The 21989-nt window shown below is 43.6% G+C and overlaps 1 long non-coding RNA gene across 2 annotated transcripts in view; it reads left to right on the top strand.

Annotated features, from left to right (window-relative positions):
* Positions 1–21989, top strand: part of PCAT19 (prostate cancer associated transcript 19) — a 46481-nt gene that overhangs the window by 9429 nt on the left and 15063 nt on the right. For both annotated transcript variants that reach the window (NR_136334.1, NR_040109.2), the window contains one exon: positions 11937–12140. This is a non-coding gene — a long non-coding RNA (prostate cancer associated transcript 19). The remainder of the gene's footprint in view (positions 1–11936; positions 12141–21989) is intronic.

The raw sequence follows: 21989 nt of genomic DNA, 5'->3' as shown, positions 1-21989 counted from the left end.
GATAGTTGTAGATATGTGACATTATTTCTGAGGACTCTGTTCTGTTGCATTGGTCTATATCTCTGTTTTGGTACCAGTACCATGCTGTTTTGGTTACTGTAGCCTTGTAGTATAGTTTGAAGTCAGGTAGCATGATGCCTCCAGCTTTGCTCTTTTGGCTTAGGATTGACTTTGCAATGCGGGGTCTTTTTTGGTTCCATGTGAACTTTAAAGTAGTTTTTTCCAATTCTGTGAAGAAAGTCATTGGTAGCTTGATGGGGATGGCATTGAATCTATAAATTACCTTGGGCAGTATGGCCATTTTCACGATATTGATTCTTCCTACCCATGAGCATGGAATGTTCTTCCATTTGTTTGTATCCTCTTTTATTTCATTGAGCAGTGGTTTTAGTTCTCCTTGAAGAGGTCCTTCACATCCCTTGTAAGTTGGGTTCCTAGGTATTTTATTCCCTTTGAAGCAATTGTGAATGGGAGTTCACTCATGATTTGGCTCTCTGTTTGTCTGTTATTGGTGTATAAGAATGCTTGTGATTTTTGTACATTGATTTTGTATCCTGAGACTTTGCTGAAGTTGCTTATCAGCTTAAGGAGATTTTGGGCTGAGACAATGGGTTTTCTAGATATACAATCATGTCGTCTGCAAACAGGGACAATTTGACTTCCTCTTTTCCTAATTGAATACCCTTTATTTCCTTCTCCTGCCTAATTGCCCTGGCCAGAACTTCCAACACTATGTTGAATAGGAGTGGTGAGAGAGGGCATCCCTGTCTTGTGCCAGTTTTCAAAGGGAATGCTTCCAGTTTTTGCCCATTCAGTATGATATTGGCTGTGGGTTTGTCATAGATAGCTCTTATTATTTTGAGATATGTCCCATCAATACCTAATTATTGAGAGTTTTCAGCATGAAGGGTTGTTGAATTTTGTCAAAGGCCTTTTCTGCATCTATTGAGATAATCATGTGGTTTTTGTCTTTGGGTCTGTTTATATGCTGGATTACATTTATTGATTTGCATATATTGAACCAGCCTTGCATCCCAGGGATGAAGCCCACTTGATCATGGTGGATAAGCTTTTTGATGTGCTGCTGGATTCGGTTTGCCAGTATTTTACTGAGGACTTTTGCATCAATGTTCATCAAGGATATTGGTCTAAAATTCTCTTTTTTGGTTGTGTCTCTGCCTGGCTTTGGTATCAGGATGATGCTGGCCTCATAAAATGAGTTAGGGAGGATTCCCTCTTTTTCTATTGATTGGAATAGTTTCAGGAGGAATGGTACCAGTTCCTCCTTGTACCTCTGGTAGAATTGGGCTGTGAATCCATCTGGTCCTGGACTGTTTTTGGTTGGTAAGCTATTGATTATTGCCACAATTTCAGATCCTGTTATTGCTCTATTCAGAGATTCAACTTCTTCCTGGTTTAGTCTTGGGAAGGTGTATGTGTCCAGGAATTTATCCATTTCTTCTAGATTTTCTAGTTTATTTGCGTAGAGGTGTTTGTAGTATTCTCTGATGGTAGTTTGTATTTCTGTGGGATCAGTGGTGATATCACCTTTATCATTTTTTATTGCATCTATTTGATTCTTCTCTCTTTTTTTCTTTATTAGTCTTGCTACCGGTCTATCAATTTTGTTGATCCTTTTAAAAAACCAGCTCCTGGATTCATTAATTTTTTGAAGGGTTTTTTGTGTCTCTATTTCCTTCAGTTCTGCTCTGATTTTAGTTATTTCTTGCCTTCTGCTAGCTTTTGAATGTGTTTGCTCTTGCTTTTCTAGTTCTTTTAATTGTGATGTTAGGGTGTCAATTTTGGATCTTTCCTGCTTTCTCTTGTGGGCATTTAGTGTTATAAATTTCCCTCTACACACTGCTTTGAATGTGTCCCAGAGATTGTGGTATGTTGTGTCTTTTTTCTCGTTGGTTTCAAAGAACATCTTTATTTCTGCCTTCATTTTGTTATGTACCCAGTAGTCATTCAGGAGCAGGTTGTTCAGTTTCCATGTAGTTGAGCGGTTTTGAGTGAGTTTCTTAATCCTGAGTTCTAGTTTGATTGCACTGTGGTCTGAGAGACAGTTTGTTATAATTTCTGTTCTTTTACATTTGCTGAGGAGAGCTTTACTTCCAAGTATGTGGTCAATTTTGGAATAGGTGTGGTGTGATGCTGAAAAAAATGTATATTCTGTTGATTTGGGGTGGAGAGTTCTGTAGATGTCTATTAGGTCCGCTTGGTGCAGAGCTGAGTTCAAATCCTGGGTATCCTTGTTAACTTTCTGTCTCATTGATCTGTCTAATGTTGACAGTGGGGTGTTAAAGTCTCCCATTATTATTGTGTGGGAGTCTAAGTCTCTTTGTAGGTCACTCAGGACTTGCTTTATGAATCTGGGTGCTCCTGTATTGGGTGCATATATATTTAGGATAGTTAGCTCTTCTTGTTGAATTGATCCCTTTACCATTATGTAATGGCCTTTTTTGTCTCTTACGATATTTGTTGGTTTAAAGCCTGTTTTATCAGAGACTAGGATTGCAACACCTGCCTTTTTTTGTTTTCCATTTTCTTGGTAGATCTTCCTCCATCCCTTTATTTTGAGCTTATGTGTGTCTCTGCACGTGAGATGGGTTTCCTGAATACAGCACACTGATGGGTCTTGACTCTTTATCCAATTTGCCAGTCTGTGTCTTTTAATTGGAGCATTTAGCCCATTTACATTTAAGGTTAATATTGTTATGTGTGAATTTGATCCTGTCGTTATGATGTTAGCTGGTTATTTTGCTCATTGGTTGATGCGGTTTCTTCCTAGCCTTGATGGTCTTTACAATTTGGCATGTTTTTGCAGTGGCTGGTACTGACTGTTCCTTTCCATGTTTAGCGCTTCCTTCAGGAGCTCTTTTAGGGCAGGTCTGGTGGTGACAAAATCCCTCAGCATTTGCTTGTCTGTAAAGGATTTTATTTCTCCTTCACTTATGAAGCTTAGTTTGGCTGGATATGAAATTCTGGGTTGAAAATTCTTTTCTTTAAGAATGTTGAATATTGGCCCCCACTGTCTTCTGGCTTCTAGAGTTTCTGCCAAGAGATCAGCCGTTAGTCTGATGGGCTTCCCTTTGTGGGTAACCCGACCTTTCTCTCTGGCTGCCCTTAACATTTTTTCCTTCATTTCAACTTTGGTGAATCTGACAATTATGTGTCTTGGAGTTGCTCTTCTTGAGGAGTATCTTTGTGGCATTCTCTGTATTTCCTGAATTTGAATGTTGGCCTGCCTTGCTAGGTTGCAGAAGTTCTCCTGGGTAATATCCTGAAGAGTGTTTTCCAGCTTGGTTCCATTCTCCCCATCACTTTCAGGTACACTAATCAAACGTAGATTTAATCTTTTCACATAGTTCCATATTTCTTGGAGGCTTTGTTTGTTTCTTTTTACTCTCTTTCCTCTAAACTTCTCTTCTCACTTCATTTCATTAATTTGATCTTCATTCACTTATATACTTTCTTCCACTTCATCAAATCGGCTACTGAAGGTATTGCATGCATCATGTAGTTCTCATGCCATGGTTTTCAGCTCTATCAGGTCATTTAAGGTCTTCTGTACATTGTTTTCTCTACTTAGCCATTCGTCTAATCTTTTTTCAAGGTTTTTAGCTTCCTTGTGATGGGTTTGAACATCCCCTTTAGCTCAGAGATGTTTGTTATTACTGACCTTCTGAAGCCTGCTTCTGTCAACTTGTCAAAGTCATTCTCCATCCAGCTTTGTTCCATTGCTGGTGAGGAGCTGCGATCCTTTGGAGGAGAAGAGGTGCTCTGGTTTATAGAATTTTCAGCTTTTCTGCTCTGGTTTCTCCCCATCTTTGTGGTTTTATCTACCTTTGGTCTTTGATAATGGTGACCTAGAGATGGGGTTTTGGTGTGGATGTCCTTTTTGTTGATGTTGATGCTGTTCCTTTCTGTTTGTTAGTTTTCCTTCGAACAGTCAGGTTCCTCAGCTGCAGGTCTGTTGGAGTTTGCCGGAGGTCCACTCCAGACCCTGTTTGCCTGGGTATCACCAGCGGAGGCTGCAGAATAGCAAATATTGCACAACAGCAAATATTGCTGCCTGATCCTTCCTCTGGAAGCTTCGTCTCAAAGGGGTGCCTGGCTGTATGAGGTGTCAGTTGGCCCCTACTGGGAGGTGTCTCCCAGTTAGGCTAGATGGGGGTTAGGGACCCACTTGAGAAGGCAGCCTGTCCATTCACAGAGCTCAAACACTATGCTAGGAGAGCCACTGCTCTCTTCAGTGCTGTCAGATGGGGATGTTTAAGTCTGCAGAAATTTCTGCTGCCTTTTATTCAGCTATGCCCTGCCCCTACAGATGGAGTCTACAGAGGCAGGCAGGCCTCATTGAGCTGCGGTGGGCTCCTCCCAGTTCGAGCTTCCAGACCACTTTGTTTACCTACTGAAGCCTCAGAAATGGTGAACACCCCTCCCCCACCCAGTCTGCCGCCTTGCAGTTCCATCTCAGACTGCTGTGCTAGCAGTGAGCGAGGCTCCATGGGCGTGGGACCCACTGAGCCAGGCACAGGATATAATCTCCTGGTGTGCCATTTGCTAAGACCATTGGAAAAGCACAGTATTAAGGTGGGAGTGTCCCAATTTTCCCAGTACAGTCTGTCACGGGTTCCCTCATCTAGGAAAGGTAAATCCCCTAACCCCTTGTGCTTCCCGGTGACGCAATGCCCCACCCTGCTTCAGCTAGCCCTCCATGGGCTGCATCCACTGTCCAACCAGCCCAATGAGATGAACAAGGTACCTCAGTTGGAAATGCAGAAATCACCCATCTTCTGTGTGGATCAGGCTGGGAGCTGCAGACCGGAGTTGCTCCTATTCGGCCATCTTGGAATGGCAATCTATGTTTGCTTTTTACATTTGAAAAAACTGGTGTCACGTACCTAGGTATTAATCATTGTGGTATCCTCTTGCCGATTTACCTCTTTATCATTAACTAGTGACCCTCCTTGTCTTTTGTTGTTACAGTCTGTGATTTTAGTCTATTTTATCTAATATGAGAATAGCTACTCTGGCACTTTTTTGGTTTCCAGCTTCATGAAATATCCTTTTCCATTTCCCTGTTTTCATTTCCCTTTCGGTGTCTCTATAGATGAAGTTGATTTCTTTAAGGCACCATAAGTTGGGTCTTATTTCTTTATCCATTTGACCATTTAGAGAATTTAGAACACTGTCAGTGTTATTATTCATAAGTAAAAACTTAAGAGTGGGTGTAGTGGTGTACATCTGTATTTCCTGCACTTTGAGAGACTGAGGCGAGCTGATCTCCTGGGGTCAGGAGTTTGAGACCGGCCTGGTCAACATGATGAAACCCTGTCTCTACTAAAAATACAAAAATTAGCCAAGCATGCTGGCATGTGCCTGTAATCCAATTTACTTGGGAGGCTGAGGCAGGAGAAGCTTGAACCTGGGAGACAAATGTTGCAGTGAGCTGAGATCACACAGAGAAGTCATCTCCACTCTCCTCATCAGAACCTCTTGTTCACAGCATTTGTGAGCACAAATCAATGATGGTTATTCTTTCCTACTAATTAGGGATATTTTATTACACAGCAATAGCCTCCAGCAAAGGGAACCATCGTACATGATTCCTACAAGTTGACAGGGCTGGAATTATCACTGAAAAACTAAGGTGGCTATACTTGATTCCCAATGTCCAATTTTTCATGAATAGAGAAATTTATCCTTTTTCCCCCCAGCCAGAAACCAAGTTTTGCTCTTACGCCCAGGCTGGAATCAAGTGGCACAATCTCAGCTCACTGCAACCTCTGCCCCCCAGCTTCAAGAAATTCACCTTTTGAACAAGGAGATATTAAGGATACACTATGTGTATGCTACCGGTGGTTGCAGGAGACTCAGAAAAGAGAGAAACAGTCACTGGCCTCGTGCAACTGATATTCTCGGGAGGAGAGAAAGGCAATCAAGAAAGAAACATGCTGTATTTCAGACAGCTGTAAGTCCTCCACAAGAAAAGAAAGCAGGTGAGGAACATAGGAAATGTGTCAACCATAAGGTTCCCGCTAATTCTATAAGTTGGTCAGGGATATCCTCCAAGAATAAGCAGCATCTGAGCAATCACCTGAAGGGAGGAAGGAAGGAAGACTGTGAGTGGTGGCTTACACCTGTAATCCCAGCACTTTGGGAGGCCAAGGAGGGCAGATTGCCTGAGCTCAGGAGTTCACGACCACTCAGAGCAACCTGTTGATACCCAATCTCTACTAAAAACACACAAAAAAATTACCCGGGTGTGGTGGCACGCACCTGTAGTCCCAGCTTCCATGCCCAGCTGATTTCTCTCTCTCCATATATATATATATATACACATATATTGTTTTTGCAGAGATAGGGTCTCACTGTGTCACCCAGTCATCAAGCAATTCTCTTATACTGTTTTGGAAAAGCATGGGAATTACAGGTGTGAAATACCCTGCTGGTCCTGAAAAATGTGATATTTGGGATTCTCTGCCTGGCTTGTTTTACCCAAAATAATGACCTCCAGTTCCTTCCAGGTTGCTGCAAAAGACATGATTTTCACTGTTTTATAACTGAATAGTATTCCTGTATGTATACATACCACATTTTCTTTATTTATTCTTCTGTTGATTGACATGTAGGGTGATTCCATGTCTTTGCTACTGTAAATAATGCTGCAGCAAATATTTGTGTGCATTTTGATCTATTCCTTTGAGTAGGTACCCAGTACTGCAACTGCAGGACTGAGTAGTTGTTATATTTTTTGTTCTTTCAGAAATCTCCATAGTGTTTGCCATAAAATCTGCGCTAATTTACATTCCCAACAACAATGCATAAGATTTCCCCTTTTCTCCACATTCTCACTAACATTTGTTATGTTTTTGTCTTTTTCATAATACCCATTCTGACTGGAGTAAGATATCTCATTGTGGTGGTTGTTGATATTTTTGAGACGGGGTCTCACTCTGTTGCCAGACTGGAGTGCAGTGGTGTGATCGTGGCTTGCTGCAACCTCCACCTCCCGGGTTCAAGCAATTCTCCTGCCTCAGCCTCCCGAGTAGCTGGGACTACAGGCGCGTGCCAACAGGCCTGGCTCATTTTTTGTATTTTTAGTAAAGACAGGGTTTCACCATGTTGGCCAGGATGATCACAGTCTCTTGAGCTCATCATACACCTGCCTCAGCCTCCCAAAGTGTTGGAATTACAGTCATGAGGCAGCGCACCCAACCTCAATGTGGTTTTAATGACCATTTCTCTGACGATTCATGGTGTGGAGAATTTCTTTGAAATACCTTTTGGCCATTTATATGTGCTCTTTTAAAAACTGACTCCTGTCCAGGTGCGGTTGAGCATGCCTGTAACCCCAGAACTTCGGGAGGCTGAGGCCAATGGATCACTTGAGGCAAAGAGGCAGAAATCAACCTGGCCAACAAGGCAAAACCCCATCTTTACTAAAAATACAAAAAATCAGCCACGGGCTGTGACTCGTGCCTGTGGTGCAAGTTACTCAGGAGGTTAAGGCACAGGAATTGCTTGAACCCGGTAGGCACAGGTCGCAGTGAGCCAAGATCATGGCACTGCACTACAGCATGGGTAATAGAGAAAGACCTGTCTCATAAAAACAAATGAATAAATAAATAAGATAAAAAATAAAAAAGTCTCTTTATGTCCTTTGCCGACTTTTTAATGGGATTCTTTGGAGTTTTCTGTTGTAGTTGAGATCTTTGTTTACTCTCGGTATTAGTCTTTTGTCAAAGGAAAAGTTTACAAATAATTTCTTCCGTTCTGCAGTTTGTCTGCTCACTCTGTTGAGAGGATTATTTCTTTGGCTGTGCAGCAGCTTTTTGTTTCAGTAAAGCTTTTGAATTTATATAATTAAAATTTTCAGTTTGGTTTAAATTTGCACTGGTCGATTTTTGGTTTTGTTGCCTGTACTTTTGAAGTCATACTCTTGAACTCTTTACTAGACAATAACCAGAAGAGTTTTCTCTAGGTTTCTTCTCACATTTTTATTATTTCAGTACATATATTTAAGTCTATAATTCATCTTCAATTGATTTTTGTAGAAATAGTGAGAAATAGGAGTCCAGGTTTATTCTTCTGCAAATGACAATTCAATTGTTCCAGCACCAATTATTGAAAAGGGTGTGCTTTCCTCAACGTATATTCTTATCAGCTTTGTCAAAGATCAGTTGGCTATAAATGTGTGGCTTTCTTTCTGGGCTCTCTAGTCTGTTACATCAATCTGTGTGTCTATCTGTATACTACTACCATGCTGTATTGGTGATGATGGCTTTGTAATATAATTTGAAGTCAAGAAATGTGATGCTCCCAGCTTTGTTTATTTGCTTCAGAAAGGCTGAGTCAACAGCTGCAGAGATGAAGCTGCCCCTCCTCGCAGGGCTCCTTCCCGGAAAAAGATCATGGCTCCCACTGACCATATAACCATGGCTGGAACTCCTGAAATTCCCAAAGGGAGGCCCTACCCAGTGAGGGGGGATGAATGAAGGTCCTACTTAAGGAATCTGTCTGGCCACAATCAGGCACAGCAGCTGTGCTGCCTTGTGGGGGACCAGACCACCTGGATTCCCTGGAGCCTGCAGGCTAGAATGTCTGAGTCCATGGAAACACAGAAATGGAGGCCGCCCTCACCTCCCCAGAAAACTGTAGTCTCAGGCAGTCTCCAGCCGATTGCCACTGGTTGGCTGCTATTCCAAGCCAGTGGGTCTTAACTTGAGAGGTGCTGTGGAAGTGGGGCCCACGGAATGAGGCTGCTTGGCTCCCTGGATTCAGCCCCTTTTCTAAGGGAATGTACAGATGGAACTCCCGCCTTGCCCAGCTTTCCAAGTATATAAAACTCCTGAGTCTCTGTGAGTGTCTGAGCGAGTGCTCTGGCAACATTCGACACGGCTCTGTGTATCTGACCCAAGACCCTTATGGCATGAGCTAATGGGAGGATCTTCTGATCCATGCGTGGCAAAGATGCATGGGAGAAACATGGTTTGTGGGTAGGGGTTGTGCATTCACTACTGCTTCTCTTGGCTGTAGGTGAAGGTTTCTTTGGCTCTGTGCTGATACTGGGTGCACCATCACCCACCCCCTTTGTTTCTTCTCCTGGGTCAAGTCATTTGCCTAATCAGTCCCAATGTAGGAACCTGGATACTTCAGTTCAAGGTGCTGAATTCACCGTGCTTTTCATTCAGGGGAAGACAGCTGCTTCTCATTGGGCATCTTGGCCTGCCCACTTCACGTCACTTTCTGTAAAATCCACACCACTCCAGGAATATCCATTACTTAACTTCGCCTGAAATAAACAGAAGGCTCATTACACTTATCATGGGCTCACTTACTTCGCCTATAATGAAGGTGCCATGGAAATGCTAGTGGATGACGTGGTCCATTTTCTTAGGGATGAGATAGAAAAATGGTGTATGGCTTTTTAATTTAATTAAAATTTTTAGTTTGGTTTAAATTTACATTGGTCTCTTTTTGGTTTTGTTGCCTGTACTTTTGAAGTCTTACTCGTGAACTCTTTACTGGACAATGACCAGAAGAGTTTTCCCTAAGTTTCTTCTGATATTTTGACCATTTCAGTACATACATTTCAGTCTATAATTCACTTTAAATTGATTTTTGTAAACATGGTAAGAAATAGGAGTTCAGATTTATTCTTCCGCATATGACAATGCAACTGTCCCAGTACCAATTATTGAAAAGGGTGTGCTTTCCCTAGTGTATATTCTTGTCAGCTTTGTCAAAGATCAGTTGCCTATGAATGTGTGGCTTTCATTTTGGATTCTCTCGTCTGTTACATCAATCTGTGTGTCCACATTTATACCTGTACCATGCTGTATTGGTGACTATGGCTGTGTAATATATTTTAGAGTTAGGAAATGTGATGCTCCCAGCTTTGTTCATTTGCTTCAGCTGAAAAGGTTGAGTCCACAATTACAAAGATGGCAGCCGCCCATCCCCGGAGGACCTCCAACCCAGAAAGAGATCAGGCTTCCCACCAACCCTATAACCCTGGCTGGAGTTCCTGAAATTCCAACAGGGAGGACCTTCCCAGTGAGGAGGGATGAATCAAGGTCAAATTTAAAGAAACAGTCTGGCCACTATCAGGCACAGCAGCAGTGCTGCCTTGTGGGGGACCCCTCCTGCTCCAGACCAGCTGCCCTCCCTGGAGCCCGAAGGCTAGATTGTCTGAGTCTACGGAAACAGAGACGGTGGCCGCCCCAACCACCCAGAACTCGGTAGTCTCAGGCACTTGGCTTGCTATCTTGCCACTGCTTGGCTGGTATTCCAAGCCCGTGGGACTTGAGAAGTGCTGTGATGATGGGGACCACAGGATGAGGCTGTCTGGCTCCCTGTGATATGGCTGTGATGAGTGGAGGAACACCAGGGCTCATGTCTCACACAGAATTGGAGAAAATGACACAAACACATGTACAGTGGTTTTATGGCGTGCAGTTTAATAGGCAAGAACGAAGGAAGAGCTCCCCATACTGAGACAGAGGGAGGGGGGCTCCAAAGCCAAAAGAGGAAACCCGGAGTGCTGTGGATACCAATGAGTTATATGAAGAAACTGGAGGGGGTGGTGTCTGATTTGCATAGGGTTCAGGCGATTGGTTCGACCAGGCATGTCATTTATGTGGCCCACGGAAAAACTGGCCCTCCCACCTAGCCTTTGAATATGCACGTGCCGGACACCCTGATTTCCTACACTCATGGGGATATATGGGGGTGGCCATATCGCCAGGCACAGGTGGGGACAAGGGCCAGAAGAGGGCGGGAATCGCTATGTTTGGGTGGACCCAGTTTCTAATGGCCGGCATCTGCAGATCAAGGTTACCGGAGAACTCTAAAAGCCGGGGCTTTCCTGCTAGACAAGACTCATTTCTGGAGCTGCTTTAAGAAGAAACAAAACTTCCCAAGGACCCCTTTTCCTCCCTGTCTGCCCAAAATAATTTCTTAACAACTCGTATAACACCTGAATTCAGCCCCCTTACTGGGGGAATGTACCAACGGAACTCCCACCTTTCCTGGTTTCTCAAGGCTAGATTGTGTAAACCTCCTGGGTCTCGGTCTGTGTCTGAGCAGCTGCTCTGCCAACACTCCACACAGCCCTGTGTACTAGGCCCAAGGCCGCCGTGACTCAGCCCATGGGAGGATCTCCTGATTTCTTGGTTGCAAAGATCCAAGGGAGAAAAATGGTTTCTGGGGCGGGGTCACACACTCATGGCTTCTCTTGGCTGTGCAAGAAGGTTCCTTTGGCTCTGTTCCAATATAGCGTGGTTCATCACCCACCCCTGTTTTCTTTGTTCTCCTGGGTCAAGTTGTTTGCCTAGTCAGTCCCAATGTGAGAACCTGAATATTTCAGTTCACGTGCTTATCGTGAAATTCACTGAGACTTTAATTCAGTGGAAGGCAGCCTCTTCTAATTGGCCATCTTGGCCCGCCCCCTCCACGTCACCTCCCATAAAATGGCCACGCTCTCCAGGGACGATACCATTATATATCTTTACGTGAAACCGACAGAACACTCATTACACTTTTTGTGAGCTCATTTACTTCACTTATAATGAACATGGCCATGGAAATGCTAGTGGAGAAAGTGGTCGATTTTCTGATGGATGTGATAAAAAAATGGTTTGCCGACCAATTAATGACATATGTCTCAAAACTAGTAACGAGACCCTTAATCGCTGGGTTGAAGTTTCTAATCAAGAAGATGCTCATCTATGTATTCAACAAAGCAGCTTCCCTTGCTTCTGAAATGCTTCCAAACAACATCTCATATTTCCTGAAGAAGATAATGCCTGGACAAGCAGCACAAGTCATTCAGGTTTACTTTCAGCTCATAAATCCAGCAGGATATTCGCACAATTGTTGGGAAACCTTATCAGTTCATGAGTCGTGCATGTTTCCTTTAATTTCAGGAGGAAGAGGGTAATCTGGAAGAGTTTCCTGACCTACTCTGCTGCTGTGATTAAACAACCACCAGGAAATTTTGATGACACTGTTCTCCTGAGCTCCTCCCTTTCCTCGGGGAAGAAAAGCATTGAAACTACAAAAATAAAGTGTTATTTGGCTGGAGTGAGGTCTCATGTCTGCTTATGCGGTGGCTCGCTGCTCAGAACAGGGTGAGTCTCTGAGTTGTACGCTGAGGAGGGGAGGCTGTCAATCTAGAAAAAACCCATTGCATGGGACACCTCCATGGGGTCTGGGGGGCTGAGGATGAGGAGCTGGACTGGATCTAGGGAAGGAGGAGGTTTCAGAGGGTGAAATTCTGGCAGTAAATCCTGGGGGTGTTTGAAAACTTCCTCCCTCAGAAGGAGAAGACTCAGGGAGGAATAAGGACAAACCATGGGTCCCTTGAGGGGCATTTACTAACTTAAGAGGACTTTATCGGGAAGCAGAGTGACAATGGCCTCCTTGAGGACTGAGGCCCCTGGATAAATGAGGCCCAGATCCAGATCCAGTCCATGGGAGATGAGACCTTCAAGGGACATATTTTTGTTGGGACAGAGGAAAAGTGCAGCTCTGCAGCTGCAGAGGAAGCCTTGGCAGTGTGAAAGCGACCTTGGAGGGGGCCCTGTGCGTTCTGAATGCTTCTGAGGTCCATCCCCTGTCCCCGCCTCTTTTTCTGGATTTTTTGGGCTCCATGGTCTCCGCCATCTTCTGAGCGCTCCACGCTGCCACCTTCAGTTTTCTCTTCTGGGCTCCAAATACTCCAAAATCTTTCATATCTGTGCCCCTACCCCTGTTTTTAGCATGTGTTGGGACTCCAGGTCCCTGAAGGTTTCTGGCCTGAAATCCACCTCCCCAGCGGTGTGGATTCTGCTCTAGAGACCCCGCACTTGGCAAGGTTCCCAGGCCCCTGGGGGACAACCGAGTGGTATGTGCACTTCAGGGCTCCACACTCGGCAAGGTCTTTCAAGCCCTTGGGGTTCCCTCCTCAGTTTTCTTCACATGTCTGGGATGTAGTCACTCTATAAATGCCGGGATGTGATCCCCACCCCAGTGATTTTTTTTAGTTCCATGAGTGTTGCTATCTGAATAGTCATCCTGAGAGTGATGGGACCTTTTGAATTTGCAGCAAGTTTTAGATTAGTGTGAGTGGCCTGAGATCGCAAAACTGGGGCTAGCATTGGATGTGAGGTTAGGCTGGTGGAAAAATTTGCCCAGAACCTGAGGAGTGTGGGCTCACTGCAGGTGGTTAGGATCAGCACAGAATTGCAAGGATGTATAGCTTTGGGGTAAAGAATAACATGGTTCAGAAGTACATGTATTAGTCTTTTCATGCATTACTATAAAGAATTACCTGAGACTGGGTAATTAATTATAAAAACTCAGGTTTAATTGGCTCATGGTTCCACAGGCTGTACAAAAAGGATGATGCTGGCCATCAGCTCAACTTCTGGGGAGGCGTCAGAAAACTTAGAGTCATGGCAAAAAGCACAAGGGAATCAGGCTCATCCTCCATGGCCAGAGCTGGAGCTAGTGGTAGGAGAGGTGCTGCACACTTTTGAACAATCAGATCTTTTTAGAACTCTATCACCAGACAGCACCTAGAGGATGGTGCTAAATTATTCATGAAATATCCACCCATATGATCCACTCAATTCTCACCGGCCCAACCAGGACCACCTCCACCATTGGGGATTACAATTACACATGAGATGTGGGTGGGGACACAGATCCAAACTCGATCAGTGGGCATCTTGGACTGGGTCTACTATAGAAGAAGAACCAGGAGCTGACTATCATCCTTAAGACTGCCCATGATGGCCAGGCAGGGTGGCTCATGCCTGTAATCCCAGCACTTTGGGAAGCCAAGGTGGGTGAATCCCCTGAGGTCAGGAGTTTGAGACCAGCCTCGCCAACATGGTGAAACCCTGCCTCTACTAAAAACACAAAAAATTAGATGGGTGTTGTGCCAGACGCCTGTAATCACAGCTACTCCAGAGGCTGAGGCATGAGAATTGCTTGAACCTGGGAGGCGGAGGTGGCGGTGAGCCCCAGTCGCACTGCTACACTCCAGCATGGGCAACAATACCAAAACATCGTCTCAAAAAAAAAAAAAAAAAAAAAAAAGGCTGCCCATGACCACTGCCCCAGTGAGAGGGACACCAGCATGGCTAAGATCAAGTGCTGGACATTCTTCATGGGTCAGACATTAAAGCAGGCCACACTGTTACAGAGATGGGCTCCATTCATAGCAACAAAGTGGTGAGAAGATGTGGGAATGGCAGAGGCCAGCACTTTGCCATCAATGCAAGGTGGGCATAAGGAGCTGGCACCAGTGCCAGAGTGCATCAGGGGAGGACTGCTTTGCAATATCTAGCACTTACCTCTTAGAGTATGTTTCATTAGGGACAACAGATATAAATGGCAGACAAGTGAGTCCCTTCAGTAACAGGAAATAGAAATCATCAAGAGGAACAGAAACAGATGTCAGCAGCCCTCATATAAAGTCATCATCCTTCATCCAGTTAAAACCTGAGACAGTTCTCACATAAGAAGGTCTAATTCAAAAAGAGACTGGGTTCTCATGAGGCAGGTTCATGCAAAACCAAGGGAAGTATACAACTTTGGGATTCTCCAGCTTCCCTTGGAAAAGACCTACAATCATTTGCTTAGGTAACTGAGCACTGAACAAAGGTGAGTATTGTTATCTTTCAGAAGCTGTTGGCCATGAAGGTCTTGCTGGCATAAAACCCATGGTTGGAAACATCACCATGACCCCTGTTAGAGTAATGGCCTAAGGGCAAGGGTCAGGAAATTGATGTATTCCTTGCCAACTTCTGCGAGACGAGTGTTGGTCCACTCATCTCTTTCACGGAATTCACCAGTCTGGTATCTTCAAAATCCAGAAGGATGATGGCAGATGGCAGGAAACTAATGCAAACACCATCAGTTGTACCTCCACTGTAGCAGCAGTAATGGATGTTATCTCTTCATTGTAATATCCAGGGAGGGAGAAGATGACATTATTCTCAATATTCTAAACACCCTGTGTGTACAGCCTCTGTGATATTTTTTGTAATATCCGTGTGGGAGAGAATTATATTACTCCTAATATCTCAGGGGTTGTGCCCCCTCTGTGACAATGTTCCTAACACCCAGGAGGGGATAGGATGATATCACTTTTAGCATCACAGGGGGTGTACACCCCACTGTAATATTGTTCATAATATCCGGGGGGGAGAGAATGATATTACTCCCAATATCGCAAAGACTGTACACCAACCTGTGATATTATTTGTAATATCCATAAGAGGAAGAATAATATTACTCCCAATGTCACAGGAAGTGTACACCCTTCTGTGATATTGTTCAAAAGATCCAGTTAGGGAGGGGATGATATTACTCTCAATATCTTAAACACCCTGTAGGTAAACCCTCTGTGATATTCCTCATAATATCCAGAGGGAGAGGATGATATTACTCCCAATATTGCATGAGGTCTACACCCCACCTGTGATATTGTTCCTAATATCCAGGATGGGAGAGGATGATATTACTCCCAATGTCGCAGGGGATGTACACCTTCCCTGTAATATTGTTCATAATATCTAGAAAAGGAGAGGATAATATTACTTTCAACATCGCAGGGGGTGTACACCTTCCTTGTTATATTGTTGCTAATATCCAGGGAAAAAGAAGATGACATTACCACCACTATTGCAGAAGGTGTACACCCCCCCTTGATATAGTTCCTAATATCCAGAAAAGGAGAGGAGATATTACTCCAAATATTGCAAGAGGTGTACATTCCCCTGTAATATTTTTCCTAACATTCAGGAAGAAAGAGAGTGATATTGCCCTTAATATTGAAGGGAGTGTGCCCCCCCCGTGATATTGTTTCTAATATCCAAGAAATGAAAGGATGATATTACTCCCAATATCACAGGGGCTGTACAGCCCCCTCCCGTGATATTGTTCCCAACATCGGGGGGGGGTGAAATAGTATTATTCCCAGTATCACAATAGGTGTACACACCTGTCGTGATATTGTTCCTAATACCCATGGGGGAAAGGACGATATTATTCTTAATATCTCAGAGGGATGTACACCCTCCCTGTGATATTGTTCCTAATATCCAGGGTGGGAGAGGATGATATTACCCCCAAAATCTCAAAGGGTGTACACCCCTCTTGTGATATTGTTCCTAATATCCAGGGTGGAGAGGATAATATTATTCCCAATATCCAGGAAAGGAAACGATGATGTTACTGTGAATATTCCAGGGGGTGTCCTCCCCTCTGTGATATTGTTCCTAATATCCAGGTTGGGGAGATTATGATATTTCTCCAAATATCACAAGGGGTGTACACCAACCCTGTGTTATTGTTCCTAATATCGATGGGGGGAGAGGACGATATTACTCCCAATATCACAGGGGGTGTACACCACCTTTATGATATTGTTCCTAATATCCATGAAGAAAGAGGATGATATTACTTTCAATATCGCAGGGGATGTACACTCCCCCTGTGATATTGTTAGTAATACCTAGGAGAAGAAAGTGTGATATTACTCCCAATATCGCAGGGGATGTACACGCTTCCTGTGATATTGTTCCTAATATTTAGGGGGAAAGGGGATGATATTACTCCCAATATCGAATGGTGTGTACACCCCCCCGTGATTCTTTTTTTTTTTTTTTTTTTTTTTGAGATGGAGTCTTGCTCTGCCGCCCAGACTGGAGTGCAATGGCGCAATCTCGGCTCACTGCAACATTTGCCTCCCAGGTTCGCACGATTCTCCTGCCTCAGCCTTCGGAGTAGCTGGGATTATAGGCAGCTGTCACCATACCAGGCTAATTTTTGTATTTTTAGTAGAGTTGGGGTTTCACCATGTTGGTCAGGCTGGTCTTGAATTCCTGACCTCAAATAATCCACCCACCTTGGCCTCCCAAAGTCCTGGGATTACAGGCATAACTTTCCCTGTGATATTCTTCCTAATATTCAGGAAGAAAGAGGATGATATTGCTCCCAATATCGCAGAGAGTGTGCACTCCTCCTGTGATATGGTTCTTAATATTCAGAGGAGGAGAGGATGATATTACTTTCTATATTGCAGAAGGTGTACACCTCCCTCGTGATGTCTTTCCTAATATCCAGTGGGGGAGAGGTTATTAGTCTCAAAATCACAGAAGGTGTAAACCCCCATTTGATATTGTTCCTAATATTCAGGGGTGGGGAGAGAAAGGTATTACTCCTAGTATTTCAGGGCATGAACACCCCCACCGTGATATCATTCCTAATATCCAGAAGGGGAGGCAATGATATTTCTCCTAATATCACAAAGGGTGTACACCCCTTCTGTGATATTGTAAATATTCTGTGTGTACACCCCCCTGTGTTATAGTCTGTAATATCCGGGTGGGGGAGAGGGTGATATTTCTCCCCATATTGTAGGGGATGTACACCCTTCTGTGATATGGTTCGTTATATCCAGGGAAGAAAAAGGTAATATTGCTGCCCATATTGTGGAGAGTGTACACCCCCATGTAATATGGTTCGTAATATCCAGGAGTGGAGAGGGTGATACTGCTCCTTACATCGAGGAAGGTGTACACCTTATTGTTATATGATTCGCAATATCCAGGGGAGGAGAGAGTGATATTGCTCCCCATATCGCAGGGGGTGTAAACCCTCCGTGATATGATTGGTAATATCCAGGAAAGGAAAGGGTGATATTTCTCCCCATATCGCGGGGGACGTACATCCTCCTGTGATATGGTTCGTAATATCCAGGAGGAAAGAGGAAAATATTGCTCTTCATAACCCGAGGGGTGTACAACCCCTGTGATATGGTTCGTAATACCCAGAAGTGTACACCCCTCTGTGATATGGTTTGTAATATCCAGGGGGTTAGAGGGTGATATTGCTCCCCATATCGCAGTGGGGGTACACCCCCCTGGATTGGTTCATAATATTCATGGGGGGAGAAATTTACATTTATCCTCATATCAGGGGGGGTGTACACCCCCCGTGATATGGTTCGTAATATCCAGGGGAAGAAAGGGTGATATTGCTCCTTATATCGCGGAAGGATCACCCTCCCCTGTGATATGGTTCATAATACCCAGACGGGAAGAGGGTGATATTGTTCTTCATAAAGCGAAGGGTGTACAGCCCCCTGTGATATGGTTCATAATATGCAAAAGGGGAGAGGGTGATATTGCTCCCCATATCACGGAGGGTGTACTCCCTTCTTTGATATGGTTCGTAATATCCAGGGGTGTAGATGGTGATATAGCTCGCCCTATTGGGGAGGGTGTTCACCCCTCTGTGATATTGTTCGTAATGTCCAGGGAAAGAGAGGATGATATTACTCCCAATATCGCAGAAGGTTTACACCACTCTGTGATATTGTTCATAATATCCAGGGAAGGAGAAGACGATATTACTCCCAATATGGCAGGGGGTGTAGAACTCCTGTGATATTGTTTGTAATATCCAGGCAAGGAGAGGATATTACTCTCAATATCGCAGAAGGTTTACACCCCTATGTGATACTGTTCATGATATCCAGGGAAAAAGAGGATATTACTCCCTATATCACAAAGGGTGTACACCCCTTTGTGATATTTTTTGTAATATCCAGGGGAGAGAGGATAATATTACTCTCAATATCAGAAGGGGTGAAAACCCTCCTGTGTCATTGTTCGTAATATTTAGGGAAGGAGAGAGTGATATTACTCCAAATATCACAGTGGGTGTACACCCCCCTATGATATTGTTCCTAATTTCCAGAAGGGGAGATATGATATTATTGCCAATATCGCAGAAGGTGTACACCTTACTCTGACATTGTTTGTAATATCCAGATGGGGAAATGATGATATTACTCCTAATATCACAGGGGGTGTACACCCCCTTGTTTTATTGTTTGTAATATTCAGGGGAAGAGACGATTATATTACTCCCAATATCGCAGGGTGTGTACAACACTCTATGATATTGTTCATAATATCCAGGGGAGGAGAGGAAGTGTACACCCCCCCGTGATATTGTTCGTAATATCCAGAGGTAGAGAGGATGATATTACTCCCAATATTGCAGGTGGTGTACACCTTTCTGTGATATTGTCATGATATTAAGAAGGGGAGAGGATGATATTACTAACAATATCACAAAAACTGTACACTCCCTGTGATATTGTTCATAATATCCAGAAGAAGGGAGGATGATATTATTCTGAATCTCGCAGAAGATATACACCACCCTGTGATATGGTTCATAATATCCTAGGGGAAAGAGGATGACATAACTGTCAATATCGCAGGGGGTGTACAATTCCCTGTGATATTGTTCACAATATTCAGAGGGAAAAAGGATAATATTACTTTCAATATCGCAGGCGGTGTACACATTACTGTGTTATTGTTTATAATATCCGGAATGAGAGAAAATTTTCTCCCAATATCACAGGAGGTGTACACTCCCCTGTGATATTGTTTGTAATATCCAGGGAGGGGAGAGGATACTATTACTCCCAACATCTCAGGGAGTGTAGGCCCCCCCTTTGATATTGTTCCTAATATTCGGAAGTGGAGAAGATGATATTACTTCCAAAATCGCAGGGGGTGTACACTCCCTCTGTAATATTGTTTCTAATATTCATGAGTGGAAAGAAAGATATTACTCCCAGTATTGCAGGGGACATACACCACACTGTGATCTTGTTCACAATATTCGGGGGGGAGAGGATGATATTACTCCCAATATCAAAGTAGGTGTACACCCCCTTCTGATATTGATCGTAATATCCAGAATTAAAGATGATAACGTTACTCCCAATATTGCAGGGGGTGTACATTTTTGAATACTGTTCATAATATTAAGAGGGGGAGGGGATGATATCTGTCCCAATATCGCAAAGTGTGTACACCTCCTGTGACATTGTCCCAAATATCCAGAGGAAAAAAGGATGTTATTACTCTTAATATCTCAGAGAGTGTACACCTCCCTGTGATATTGTTTGTAACATCCAGAAGAAAGAGGCTGATATTACTCTTAATATCGCAGGGGGTGTACACCCCCGCCCCGGGATATTATTCGTAATATCCAGGGGGAAGTGGAATGTTCAGAATGGGAGAGGATGATATTACTTGCAATATCATAGTGGGTGTACACCCCACTGTGATATTGTTTGTAATATCCGGGAAAGGAGAAAATGACATTCCTCCCCATATGGCAGGGGCTGTACACCACCTATCATATTGTTCAAAATATCCAGAAGGGGAGAGGATATGTCTCCAAGTATCACAGGGGGTGTACACCCCGCTGTAATATTCTTCCTAATATCCAGGGTGTGAGAGGATAATAGTACTCCCAATATCCCAGGGCATGTACACCCGCCTTGTGATGTTGTTCCTAAAATTCATGGGGAGAAAGAATATTACTCCCAATATCACAGGGGGTGTACATACACTCTGTAATATTGTTGCCAATATGCAGCAGGAGAGAGGATGATATTACTCCCAATATCACAGGGGCTGTACACCCCGCTGGGATATTGTTTCTAATATCAAGGGGGAAAAAGGATGATATTACTCCCAATGTCGCAGGGTGTGTACTTCCTCTTTGTGACATTGTTCCTAATATCCAGGAGAGAAGAGGGTGACATTCCTTCCAAAACTGAAAGGGGTGTACACACCCTTTGAGATATTGTCTTTAATATCCAGAACGAAACAGGATGATATAACTCCTAATACTGCAGGGGGGTACACCCTCTCTGTGATATTGTTTCTAATATCCAGGAGGGGAAAGAAAAATATTAATCCCAATATCACAGGGGGTGTACATTCCCCCTTTAATATTGTTCCTAATATCCAGGAAGACACAGGATGATACTATTTCCAGCAGCACAGGGCATGTACACCCCTTTGTGATATTGTTCCTAATATCCAGGAAAAGAGAGGATGATATTACTGTCAATATTGCAGGGCGTATACACTGGTTCTGTGATATTGTTTCTAATATCCGGGGGTGGAGAAAATGATATTACTCCCAATATTCCAGCGGGTGTACACCCGTTCTATGATATTGTTCCTAATATCTGGGGGAGAGAGGATGATATTATTGTCAATATCACAGGGGATGTACAGATTCCCTGTGATATTGTTTCTAATATTCACAGGGGGAGAAGGGTATAATACTCCCGATATCGCAGGGGGTGTACACTCCCCCTGTGAAGTTGTTCCTAATATCCAGGGATTGAGAGAATGATATTACTCCCAATATCACAGGCGGTGTAAACCCCCTGTGTGATATTGTTCCTAACATCCAGAGGAAAAGATGATGATATTATTTTCAATATCACAGGGGGTGTACGCATCCCTGTGATATTGTTTCTAATATCCAGGGGAGGAGAGGATGATATTATTGTTAATATCGCAGGGGGTGTACCCCACCCTGTGATGTTGTTCCTAATATCCGGGGTGGAAGAGGATAATATTGCTCCCAATATCGCAAAGGGTGTACAACCTTCCTGAGATATTGGTCCTAATATCCAGGGAGGGAGAGGATGATATTACTTTCAATATCACAGGGAGTTTACACAACCCCTGCGATATTGTTCCTAATATCCAGCGGAAGAAGAGTTAGGATAATACTATTTTCAAAATTGCTGGGTCTGTACCCCCTCCCCGTGATATTGTTTCTAATATCCAGGAGGGGAGAAAGTAATATGACTCCCAATATCTTAGAAGATGTACACCCTCCCCATAATATTATTTCTTACATCCAGGGGGTAGAGGATGATTTTGCTTTCAATATCACAGAGGGAGTAAACCTTTCCGGTGATATTGTTTTTAATATTTAAAAAGAGAGAAGATAAAATTACTCCCAATACAAAGGGGATGTATTGTGTACTCCCCCCTCTGATATTCTTTTTTAATATCCAGATGGAGAGAGGATGATATTACTTTCAATATTGCATGGGATGTATAAATCCCCTGTGTTATTGTTCTGAA

The sequence above is a fragment of the Homo sapiens genome, chromosome 19, assembly GCF_000001405.40.
Source record: "Homo sapiens chromosome 19, GRCh38.p14 Primary Assembly".
Taxonomy (NCBI): domain Eukaryota; kingdom Metazoa; phylum Chordata; class Mammalia; order Primates; family Hominidae; genus Homo; species Homo sapiens.
This window is presented reverse-complemented; position numbering and strand designations above follow the sequence as displayed.